The sequence below is a fragment of the Homo sapiens genome, chromosome 6, assembly GCF_000001405.40.
Source record: "Homo sapiens chromosome 6, GRCh38.p14 Primary Assembly".
NCBI lineage: Eukaryota > Metazoa > Chordata > Mammalia > Primates > Hominidae > Homo > Homo sapiens.
Window position 1 is genome coordinate 35,152,858 of NC_000006.12, and position 12,171 is coordinate 35,165,028.

General features: G+C 42.3%; 1 annotated feature.

Moving 5' to 3' along the window:
• Positions 1-201: a silencer, noted in NCBI's record as "peak5764 fragment used in MPRA reporter construct". NCBI's record gives its function as "represses an SCP1 promoter by STARR-seq MPRAs in K562 erythroleukemia cells {active_cell/tissue: K562}" and the evidence as "EXISTENCE:reporter gene assay evidence [ECO:0000049][PMID:32103011]".

Here is a 12,171-nt window from a genome sequence, read left to right on the forward strand (position 1 = left end):
CAACACTTGGAACTGTCAATTAAAAAAAAAAGTCATTCTAGTGAGTGTGTGATGGTTCCTTGTTGTGGTTTTAACTTGCATTTCCCTGATGACCAATTGTTGAGCATTTCTTCATGTACTTATTTATCATCCAGATGTCTCATTTGGTGGTGTCTGTGCAAGCCTTTTGCGCTTTTTTTTTTTTTTTAAAAGGACTTTAGGCCAGGTGTGGTGGCTCATGCCTGTAATCCCAGCACTTTGGGAGGCTCAGACAGGAGGACCACTTGAGCCCAGTAGTTTGAGACCAGCCTGGGCAACATTGCAAGACCTCATCTCTATGAAAAAAATATATTTTTTAAAAGGACTTTATTTTTTAAGAGCAGTTTTAGGTTTACAGCAAAACGGAAAGGAAGATACAGATTTCTCATCTACTCCCTGCCCCAACATGTGTAGACCTCCCCCATTATCAATATCCCCTACGAGTGTGGTGCAGTTGTTGCCATTGATGAACCAACAATGACACATCACAATCACCCAAAGTACATCATTTACATGAGGGTTCTCTCTTGGTGTTGTACATTCTGTGAGTTTGGACAAATGTATAATGATGTGTATCCATCATTATAGTGTCCTACAGAGTTTTCACTGCCCTAAAAATCCTCTGTGCTCTGCCTATTCATCACCCTTCCCCACTCCATCTTTAAATTGGCATTGGCAAAGTTTTTAAAAAAAATTTTTTTAATTTTCTATATATTTTTTTGAGATGGAGTCTTGCTGTGTCACCCAGGCTGGAGTGCAATGGTGCAATCTCGGCTCACTGCAGCCCCTGTCTCCCAGGTTCAAGTGATTCTCCTGCCTCAGCCTCCCGAGTAGCTGGGATTACAGGCGCCCACCACTATGCCTGGCTAATTTTTATATTTTTAGTAAAGACGGGGGGGTCTCACCATGTTGGCCAGGCTGGTCTCGAACTCCTGACTTCAAATCATCCACCCACCTCGGCCTCTCAAAGTGCTGAGATTACAGGCATGAGCCATCACATCCGGCCAGGCAAAGTTGTTTATAATAATCTCTTACAATATCCTCCTATTACTTGTAAAATCTGTCATTAAGTCACTTCTCTTATTTCTGATATTCTTAATTTGTGTTTTTTCTCTTTTTTCCTGATCCATGCCTAGAGGTTGATCAATATGATCTTTTCAAAGAACTAGCTTCTGGTGTCATTGAGTTTCTCCATTGTTTTTCAGTATTCTATTTCATTAATTTCTGTTTTGATCTTCATTATTTCCTTTCCTCTGCTTACTTGGGTTTCATTTTCTCTTCTTTTTCTCATTTCTTAAGGTAGAGGCTGAAGTTATTGACTTGAAACCTTTCAAGTGCTGATTTAGTGGCACCCACAAATTTGGATATGTTGGGTTTCCATTTTCATTCCATTCAAAATACATTCTGATCCCTCCTGCCTTTTTGACTGATAGGTTATTAAGAAGTGCCTTATCTAGTTTCCAAATATTTGGAGATTTTTCTAAGACTCTTTCTATTACTCACTATTTATAACTTAATTCCATTGTGGTAAGATAACTTTTTTATTATGACTTGAATCATTTCAAATGTTTGAGACTTGTTTTATGGCCCAGAATATGGCCTATTTTGTTAAATGTTCCTTGCGCATGTGAAAAGAATGTGCATTCTGCTGTTGTTGGATGGAGTGTTCTATAAGTGTCAACTAGGTCAAGTCGATTGATGGGGTTATTCAAATCCTCTATACACTTGCTTATTTTCTACCTAATTATCTATCAGTTATTAAGAGGGAGTAGTGAAATCTCTGATTATAATTATGATTTTTCTATTTGTCTTTGCAGCTCTATCCATTTTTGCTTCATGTATTTTGAAGCTCTGTTATTAGGCGCATAAACTTTTAGAATTTTGATGTATTGACTTATAATTATGAAATGATATTTATACTTGATAATATTCTTTGATCTAAAATCTTCATCTGATACTCATATAGCCATCCTATCTTTTGATTAACGTTAGCTTGGCATATCTTTTTCCATCCTCCTTTTACATTTTAACATATTGTGTCTCTATATTTTGTTTCTTATAAGCATTATATAATGTCTTGCTTTTTAATCCAATCTGACAATCTCTGCCTATTAATTAGAACATTTAGACCACTTACTTTTGTTTCTCACCTCAAAGAAATATGCGGGTTGTTTTGTTTTAATTGTGGTAAAATATATATAACATGAAATTTATCATCTTAACCATTTTAAGTATTCAGTACAGTAATGTTAAGTATATTCACATTGTTGTGCAACCAATCTCTAGAACTTTTTCATCTTGCAAAATTGAGACTCTTTGCCCATTAAATAACAACTCCCCATTTCCCTCCTCTCCAACTCCTGGCAACCACCATTCTACTTTCTGTTTCTATGAGTTTGGCTGCTCTAGATACCTTGTATAAGTGGAATCCTACAGTATAGACCATTTACTTATAATGTGATTATTGACAGGTTAAGTTTAAGCCTATCAGCTTCTTTTTGTTCTATATTTGTTCCATTTCTTTTTTGTTTCTTTCTTTTCTCTTTTTCTCCCTTCTTTTGGATTGATTTTTTTTTATAATTTCACTTTATTTTCTTTGTTGGGTTAATAGCTATAATTCTTTGTTTTGTTATTTTAGTGGTTGCTTCAGGGTTTATGGCTTGTATATCTTATCACAGTCTGCCTTCACCATTTTACATATAAGAATTTTAATATACTTCCATTTCTCCTCTCCTGACTTTTCTGCTTTCATTATCATACTTTTTACTTATTCATATGTTATAAACCATACATCTTTTTTTATTTAAGCAGTCAATTATCATTGAAAGAGATATAGTTTTTTATAAATCTTACATATTTGCCATGTATTTACCTTTATTCCTTTGGGTAGATCCATATTTCAATCTGGTATCATTTTCCTTCCGCTTTAAGGATTTTCTTTAACATTTCTTGTCTGTTTGTTTGAGACAGGGGCTTGCTCTGTCACCCAGGCTGGAGTGCAGTGATGTGATCACGGCTAACTGCAGCCTTCACCTCTTGGGCTCAGGCAATCTTCCTGCCTCAGCCTCCTGAGTAGCTGGGACTACAGGTATGTGCCACCACACCCAGCTAATTTTTAAATTTTTTGTAGTGACAGGGTCTAATCTTGTGGCCCAGTCTGGTGTTGAACTCCTGGGCTCAAAAGATCCTTCCATCTCAGCCTTCCAAGGTGTTGGGATTGCAGGTGTGAGCTACCGCGTCCAGCCTAACATTTTTTATAGTACAGTTTTGCCATTGATGATTTTTTTCAACTTTTGCACATCTAAAAAGGTCTCTATTATAGCTTCATTTTTGAAGATACTTCTGCTGATATAGGATTCAGATTGACAGATTTTTTTTTTCTTTCAGCATTTAAAATATCTTGCTGAACTGTTTTCTCACTTGCCCTGTTTCCAGTGGGAAATCTGCTGCTATCCTTATATTTGTGCCTTTATATGTAATATGTCTTTTTTTCTCTGGCTGCTTCTAAGATTTTCTCTTTATTATATATATTGAGCGATTTGATTATATGTGCATTGGTGTAATTTTCTTCAGATTTCTTTTGCTGGGGCTCATTGAGCTTCTTGGATTTGTGGGTTTATAGTTTTCATAAAATGTAGAAAATTTTTGAGCGTTACTTCTTCAAATATTTTTTCTGTACTCCCTGTTTTTCAGGGACTCCAATTACATGTATATGAGGCTGCTTGAAGTTGTCCTGTAGCTCACTGATGCTCTTTTTATTTTTTAAGCATCTTTTTTCTCTGTATGTTTAATTTGGAATAGCTTCTATTGTTATGTCTTTCTAATAACTAAAATTTTCCTCTGCTACATCTAGTCTGCTATCAACCTTAGCCAATGTAATTTTCGTCTTACTCATTGTAGTTTTCATGTTACTAATTGTAGTTTTCATCTCAAAAGTTCATTTTGCATCGTTTAAATATTATGCATGTTTTTGAACATATGGAATATAGCCATAATAACTGTTTTAACATACTCGTCTGTTAATTCTAACATCTTTGTCAGTTTTGGGTCAATTTTATTTTTTATTTTATTTTTATTTATTATTATTTTTTGAGACAGAGTCTCACTCTGTCCCCCAGGCTGGGGTACAGTGGCGCGATGTCGGCTCACTGCAACCTCCACCTCCTGAGTTCAAGCAATTCTCTTGCTTCAGCCTCCCTAGTAGCTGGGACTACAGGCATGTGCCACCACGCCCGGCTAATTTTTCGTAATTTTAGTAGAGACAGGGTTTTACCATGTTAGCCAGGATGGTCTCGATCTCCTGACCTCGTGATCTGCCCACTTCGGCCTCCCAAACTGCTGGGATTAGAGGCGTGAGCCACCGTGCCCAGCCAGTTCTGGGTCAATTTTAATTGATTGATCTTTCTTCTCATTATAGGTTATATTTTGCATGCCTGGTATTCTTTCATTAGATGCCTAATGTGAATTTTACCCGTTAAGTACAGGATATTTTGGTATTTCTATAATATTCTTGAGCTTTGTTATAGGATTGTTATAGGATTCGATTAGGTTACTTGGCAACAGTTTGATTCTTTTGGTCTTTCTTTTAAGAGTTACTAGGTGGGAGCTGGGTGCGGTGGCTCACACCTGTAATCTCAGCACTTTGGGAGGCCAAGGAGGGTGGATCACAAGGTCAGGAGATTGAGACCATCCTGTCTAACACAGTGAAACCCCATCTCTACTAAAAATACAAAAAAATTAGCTGGGCATGGTGGTGGGCGCCTGTAGTCCCAGCTACTCGGGAGGCTGAGGCAGGAGAATGGCATGAACCCGGGAGGTGGAGGTTGCAGTGAGCCGAGATCGTGCCATTGCACTCCATCTCAAAAAAAAAAAAATAGTTATTAGGTGGGAGCCAGGCGAGTTGGATCATGCCTATAATCCCATCACTTTGAACATTTTGGGAGGATGAGGCGGGAGGATCACTGGAGCCCAGGATTTCAAGACTAGCCTGGGTAACATAGTGAGACTCCATCTCTATTTAAAAATATAAAAATCAGCCAGGCAAGGTGGTGTGGGCCTATAGTCTTAGCTACTCAGGAGCCTGAGGTGGGATGATTGCTTGAGCACAGGAGGTTGAGGCTGCAGTGAGCCAAGCTTGTGCCACTACACCCCAGCCTGGGTGACAGAGTGAGACCCTGTTTACAAAAAAATTAAAAAGCGTTATTAGGTGGGACCAAAGCAGTGTTTTGTGTTGGGGTAATTATTCCTCAATACCAAGGCAGTACCCTTTTGAGTAATTTACCCATGCCTCATGAATTATGAAGTTTTCCAGTCTGGCTGGTGGAAACACTCTTCCCACCTCTGTGTGAACACATAACATTGCTCTCTCGTCCTCTTAGAAGGTTCTCTCCCTAGCCTTGGGTAGTTTTCTCACCCTATGGGTCAATAATGCCAGATACTTGTGGGAGACCCTCTACACATCTCCAGGCCTCTGTGTAGCTCTCTCCTGTCTGGTATTCTGTCCTGAAAACTCTAGCTACCTTGGTATCCTTTTAGCTCTGTCTCTTCAACTCAGAATTGGCTGAGACGTGCCTGGTTTTCTCTCCCTCTACCACAGCCTGGAAGCCTTCATAAAGCAGTAAGCTGTAGGGCAGTTGTGGGGCTTACCTTGTTTTTCCATCTCTCAGTAAATGTCCTTTCTTGCCTGAAACAGTCTTGAAAACCAACTTACCTTCTTTCCTTCCTTCCCCCTTTCTTCCCATTCCCTCCCTCTCTTATCTCTCTCATTCTTTCCTTATCTCCCTCCCTCACTTCCTCCTTTCTTCCATCCTTCTTTGTTTCATTTCAGGAAGGAGAGGAAATCCAGTCACTGTTGCTCCATCTTGGCTGGGAGCAAAATTCCTTTCTGTTCAAATTCTTTCTTATCCTTTGTTACAACTGTAATAGTGCTGGGCACATGGTTGGTTCATTGATTGAATGCTGCTTGAGTGCATTCATCTTTTAAGTAATAATATCCAAGTAAAAATTTGTTTAGCAATTCAATTGTAGGGCCAGGTCCTGTGGCTCACGCCTGTAATCCCAGCACTTTGGGCGGCTGAGGTGGGTGGATCATTTGAGGTCAGGAGTTCGAGACCAGCCTGGCCAACATGGTGAAACCCTATCTCTATTAAAAATACAAAAACTAGCCAGGCATGGTGGTGGATGCCTGTAGTCCTAGCTACTTGGGAGGAGAATTGCTTGAATGCGGAAGGCGGAGGTTGCAGTGAACCGAGATCATGCCACTGTATTCTAGCCTGGGTGACAGAGCGAGACTCCATCTCAAAAAACAAACACACACACACACACACACACACACACACACACACACACACACAAAGAATGATTGAGTGGGTAGGATACTTTTTTTTTTTTTTTAAGATGGAGTCTCCCTCTGTTACCCAGGCTAGAATGCAATGATGTGATCTTGGCTCACTGCAACCTCCGCCTCCTGGGTTCAAGCAGTTCTGCCTCAGCCTCCAGAGTAGCTGGGACTACAGGTGCCTGCCTCCATGCTTGGCTAATTTTTAATAGAGACAAGGTTTCACTATGTTGGCCAGGCTGGTCTCGAACTCCTGACCTCAAGAGATCTGCCCACCTCAGCCTCCCAAAGTGCTGGGATTATAGGCGTAAGCCACCACCCCGGCCTAGAATACTTTTTGTTTCACCAAACAATGTAATTTTATTTTAATAACATCTCTATCTGATGTTCCTCTTTCCATTTTATAAATTGAAGCTCTAGTTCTAATAGATTCATGTCCCTTCTGGTTTCTTTACAGTGTGCACTGCTGGCCCTCACTTTGTAACATTTTTTGTCAGATGAAGTTAACACAAATCAATATTTCTTCTTCTACAAGAGAGGCTGACATTCTGATTTGGAAATCTTCATTGAAGAAATTTGGCTTATACTCTTGGAAACTTCTGGCTTGCATAACACTTTGACTTCTAGCTTAATTCTTGTGGAATCTTGGGGTTCAGGCCCTTCTCCTCAAGTTCTTTCTGTGGCCCAGCCAAATCTTGTGCATCCTTCCAGCCCAGCGCAAGCCTTCCTTCCTCTGTGAGGCCTACGGCCACAGTGATCTTGTCCTTCTACCTGCTCCTTGGAACTTCATTGTCTTTTCCACTCACTTGGTGCCTAATTGACCGTCCTGCCTTGTCCTACCCTTTGTGTTTAGTCAGAGCATCTGTTTCAACCAGCTTGCAACCACCTTCAGACAGGAGGCCCACAGTGCCTAAAACAGAAATAATAATAATAATAGTAATAACTAGCATTTATTGAGTATTTACCATGTGCCAGGCCCTATTCTAAGAGCTTGCTATGGATGACTTCAGTTAACCTTCACCCCATTCAAAGGGGTTAGTGCTGTTACAATCCCACTTTCCAGATAAGGGAGCAGAAGACCAAGGGAGCTGGGTCACTTGCCCAGGGTACCTAGCAGAGCCAGGATTTAAACTCAAGCACTCTGAGACCAGAGCCTGAGCCACCCTCAACCCCTACACTCTGCCGTGGCACTGGGGGTGCAGTAGTTGCTCAGTACAGCTTTGCTGAATGAATGAAAACGTGGAGGCTTGGCCTGTGCAGGAGAGAAACCTCCAGAGGAGGCCCTGTTCTGTTACTCTTACAGCTTTGCTGTTTGCCATCGCTACTTGCACATTATTGCTGTTGTTTCAGGAGCAAGATCCTGTGTGGTCCAGGAGGGAAAAGAGGTTAGGAAGTGAGATGCCCACACCCCTCTCCTGCCTTCCTCCCTTGCAGGTTGGGCAGAGAGCAAGTTGGGGCAGTTCTTCTTCCTGCCACCCCTTGCTCTCAGAGCTAGCCAGCAACCTGAAGCAGGGAGAGGTGGAAAGGAAGGCATGGGGGGCAGCAACAGCCTCAGGATCACTGGTTCCTGGGGCCCTTGCCTCCCGAGGCTCAGTCAACCGGATGGTCCTTTAGCTTGCCGGAATTTGGCCGGATTTACAGAGATAAGATCAATCTGACCCTTAATTCCTTAAATGTAATTTATGGGCTTGCCTCCTGTGTGCTACAACACGTCTGGCTATCCAAAATCTGGTAATTAGTTATGTAAACACAGGATCCTGCCTTTGTGGATTATAATTGGACTTGAACAGCAAGAAGCAGGGACTTACATGGTTGAGGCTGCACTGAAACTCTTCTTTTGAAAACACTCACCTGAGCCTTTGAAATCTTCCCTGTGGCTCATGGATGGCTTTAACCAGACCAAAAAAACTTTTTTCCTCCTCCTCCTGCAGGCCTGGGCAAATTTGTTCCCAAACACCACCAGGCTTTCTAGGTCCTCTCAGATGATGGGCTGAAGATGCCCCGTCATCTGGGCTGGACTAAGAGGACAGGTGCCCTGGGAGGGAGCCTCCATGGAGCTCCTCATTGTCTGTTGGAACATGAATTTTTATACCCCCTCTAAGAAGAAACAGGATTAGGAATTTTATGCTGTTTGGAAAAGAGGAGAGGTGGCTGGCACAAGAGAAAGATCTTTGCTTTTTATTCATGCTGTGAGTTCCCCAGGAGCCTTTGCTGTACATACACACACAAGAGCCAGGAGGATTAGAGGAAAGAAAATGAGCTGATTGAACCAGATGGTTCAGGAAGCACTCCCAGGAGGCTGCTGGGATGGATGAATCTGCATCTTTAAATAACATTAATTTCTGAAAGGCCCAAATTGTTTCCTAAATTACTACACTGAACTCTTACCTTTCATCTATTTTTATGGCACCTCTCTGGTTGAAGGCAGGAGCTACTGCTTTCTGACAAACCATCTTTGGAGAAATTCCTCATCCTTGGTGCAGCTGGTAAGGAGTTGTTTTCCAGAAGGAAAAAGGAATCCTTAAGAATCAAAGTGCTTTGAAAAACAGATTTAGGCAGGAACAACCACCCCTGGGTGATCTAAACAAGCTACCAAGTTCTAATGCCAGCTGAGACACTCATTTCCTCAGTGGCTGGGGGCAAACCACTTAACCTCAGTTTCCCCATCTGTAAAATGGGGTTAATAATGCTTACCTGCTGCAGGAGTGCTGTGAGGTTTTAATTGGGTAATGGCTGTGGAGCCCTTTGATGTAGTAAGTTTTATTAACTTACAAGGGATTCCCTGAGGCCAGAAAAAGCAGTTAAACCCAAGAGAGAGAAGAAAGGCACTGAAATGAAAGCAAAGCTCAGCTAAGCGTTTCACCTCCAGCTCCAATTTCAGAAGTGCAGAGTCCAGCTGCTCCACTGTGAGTGGAAAGCAGTGGCCGGGGCTGGGGACTGTCCGAATAGCATCTGGGGAGGGAAAGCTTCAGGGTCATCTCAGAGGGAGCTTGGCTTTCAGATTGTGAAGGGTGAAGGTAAGCAAGTAGTCTTGCTTGATCAAGCCAGGATCATTCTCTGGACCCACTGAGGTTCTTTGTTAAGAACCTTCTCCAGTAAGAGAATTATTTTGCTATTAATCCAAGGTCCTTGTAATTGAATTTAGAAACCCCTAGCCTCTGGCCTCCCGTTTCCCAACAATTAAATAGAGAACTGGCCTCTAGCCAGGGTTGCTGACCAGAGAAGAATTGGAAGGACGGCACCAACCAAAGGTCAGAAAACTGGGGCATTTTCCAAGCTCCACCATTCACAGCTAGGCAGACCAACCTAGACTGCTTGGCCAGCTCTGTGCTTCAGTTTCCCACTCCATAAAATTGATTGCTGTTAAGGCCCAAATAATTAAGATTTGGAATGTGAAATGCACTAAAATGATGAGGAACAAACCCATACTCGCCCTTCAGTAAGTTAAAAAAATCAATTATTTGAATAATTTTACTCCAAGCCAACTCATTCAGCATAAGAGACTCCATGCTCCTCTTCCTCCTTTCTAACTTTTGTTGGGTGCCCACCACACAACCACAGTCATTCAGCATCAGCTACATGAACACAGCCCAGGAGGGTGATCAACTTGTCCTGATTTGCCTAGACTATCCTCGTTTTAGCTCTGAAAATCTCATGTTTCAGGAGCCCCTCCTAATCTCAGGCAAACAGGGATGGTTGGTCACCCTAACATGTCCTTGGGCTGGTTGGAAAGTGCTGGGTACAGTTCCTGTCAAGCAGCTATTGACCTACCATGGGCATATCTTAGGAAAAGGGGCACTGTGGTGTGGCAGAGGTGAGGGAGTCCTATGATCCAGACTGTCATTTCTGGCTCTGCCTCTCTCTACTGACTTCAGATCAGACCCGTGGCCTCAGTTTCCTCACCTGCAAAGGGAGGTGGTGTGACATGATGCCTTTTCACCTTTCCTCCAGGAGACATGGCTGCAAAGACATGCCCATCAACTTGCCCAGCTCCAGGGGGGATGCTGTGTGCTTTGCAATGAGTGGCAAAACACACAGTGTGGGGACACACTGGGGACCAAAGTCCACCCCTGCTTGTGGGATTCAGCTCCTTGGTGCCCACTGACTCCTTTAATGCCCTTTCTTTGTGAGAAGGAAGAACATGGCTGGGAACGTGTTAGCCCTCAACTAACCAGTTGAGTGTTGTGCATATCTCTTTAGATAACTTTCCTTCCTAAAATGAGCACATTATATTCCTGAGATCTGAAACTTTACTTTTCCAAGACTGTGTTCAAGTTTGGCAAAATGAGCGCTGAGTCCAAAAATTAAAGCAATTTAAAAGACCCACTATTTCCCGTATCATAATTTAGGCTACATATTTTTAGTATGGTTTCCTACTCCTGTGTTTTATTTTACAATATAAAGAAAAATACCTGCTGTAAAGGAAGTAAAATTCTATAAATTATACATATGTTTTGTCTTCATTGTCCAGATTCTCCAGCCAGCCCATTGCTTGGATATACCCTTTGTTTGATCCATGTAGACAGAGGAGATAATCAGGGTTGGGATTGTTTTGATGGAGGTGGCTTTCTTTTTGGGGATTGATTCTTTTAAAAATGCCCTTGATAGGCGCTTATCTTAATGAAAACAGTCTTCTCGTGACAGACCGGAACCTGGCTTTCATAGCATTAAAAAAAGTAATTTACATTAAGAAATGGGAAACAATGATTGAATCAAAGCCACCCTGAGCAGCTTCCCCCTGCTCTGCTCCATCTGAAAACAGCCCTGTTTCCATTTCACCGCTGAGCTCAGCCTGCCTGCTCCAGACGTCCAGACCTCGCACTCTATAAATTGTCTCTGCCCTTGCCCCGGAGTTGCTGACTATATGTATTTTTGGGCCCGGCATTAATTCCCTCATCCTTGGCTGGTGACATTAAGATTTGTAACTGATAGAATGTGTTTTTAATGTATTTCCTGCAGGTTACCATTAAAGAAATCTAATTCTTCTGAACTTGCAAAAGGTTCTGCTGCCATTAAAAAAAAAAAAAAAAAAAAAAGGTATTACGGGAAGAATTTCCCCAAAGCCTCCAGATGGACTGGGCAGCCAGAGGGGTCTGGGGCTCTGGAATTCTCTGCTTAGCTCTGCCACTCACTCTTCCTCCTCCTGCCCAGTCTGTTCTCTCTCTGCACCTTAGTATTCCTGGGTATGAAATGAGGATAAATATTTGTCTATGAGATGAAGGTGTTGTAAGGATTAATTGGTTGGTGCTTCGGGAAGCCTTTGAAGATGAAAGACGCTCTCTGCAGATGCTAAGTAAACTCATAACGTGTCTGATTTTAATGAGCCAGGTGAAGCCAGTGGGGATGGCTGGAGATTAACTGTGCCTAGTCCAGAGCCTGCCTGCATGGGCTGGACTGAAAACGGGGTGGAGCTCCCCGCTAGTCCCCTGCGTTTGATCCCATCACTGTTTCCCCTGACTCCTGGCACAGAGCCTGGCACATTGGTTCTCTAGAAATATATGCAGAAGGTAGTGAGTTAGAATTTAACCTAGCCTCTCATGTCGCAGAGAGCAGGGCTTCAGACTTCCTAAATTATGCTTATTGCCTCTCATTCTAGCACATGGCTTGGTTGCAAGTTACTTAACCTCTAAATCTCAGTACCTCATTTGCCAGTGGGGATAGTCAGAGTCCCCATCTCGAAGGTCTGTGGTGAGGATTTGTCATAAACAGGCTAACAGCAATTGAGCACTTGCTTTACATCAAACACAGGTTCTAAGCATTTTACGCTCATGAACTCAATAAACGCTCATGCAGCAATCCCACCAGGGAGGGACTGT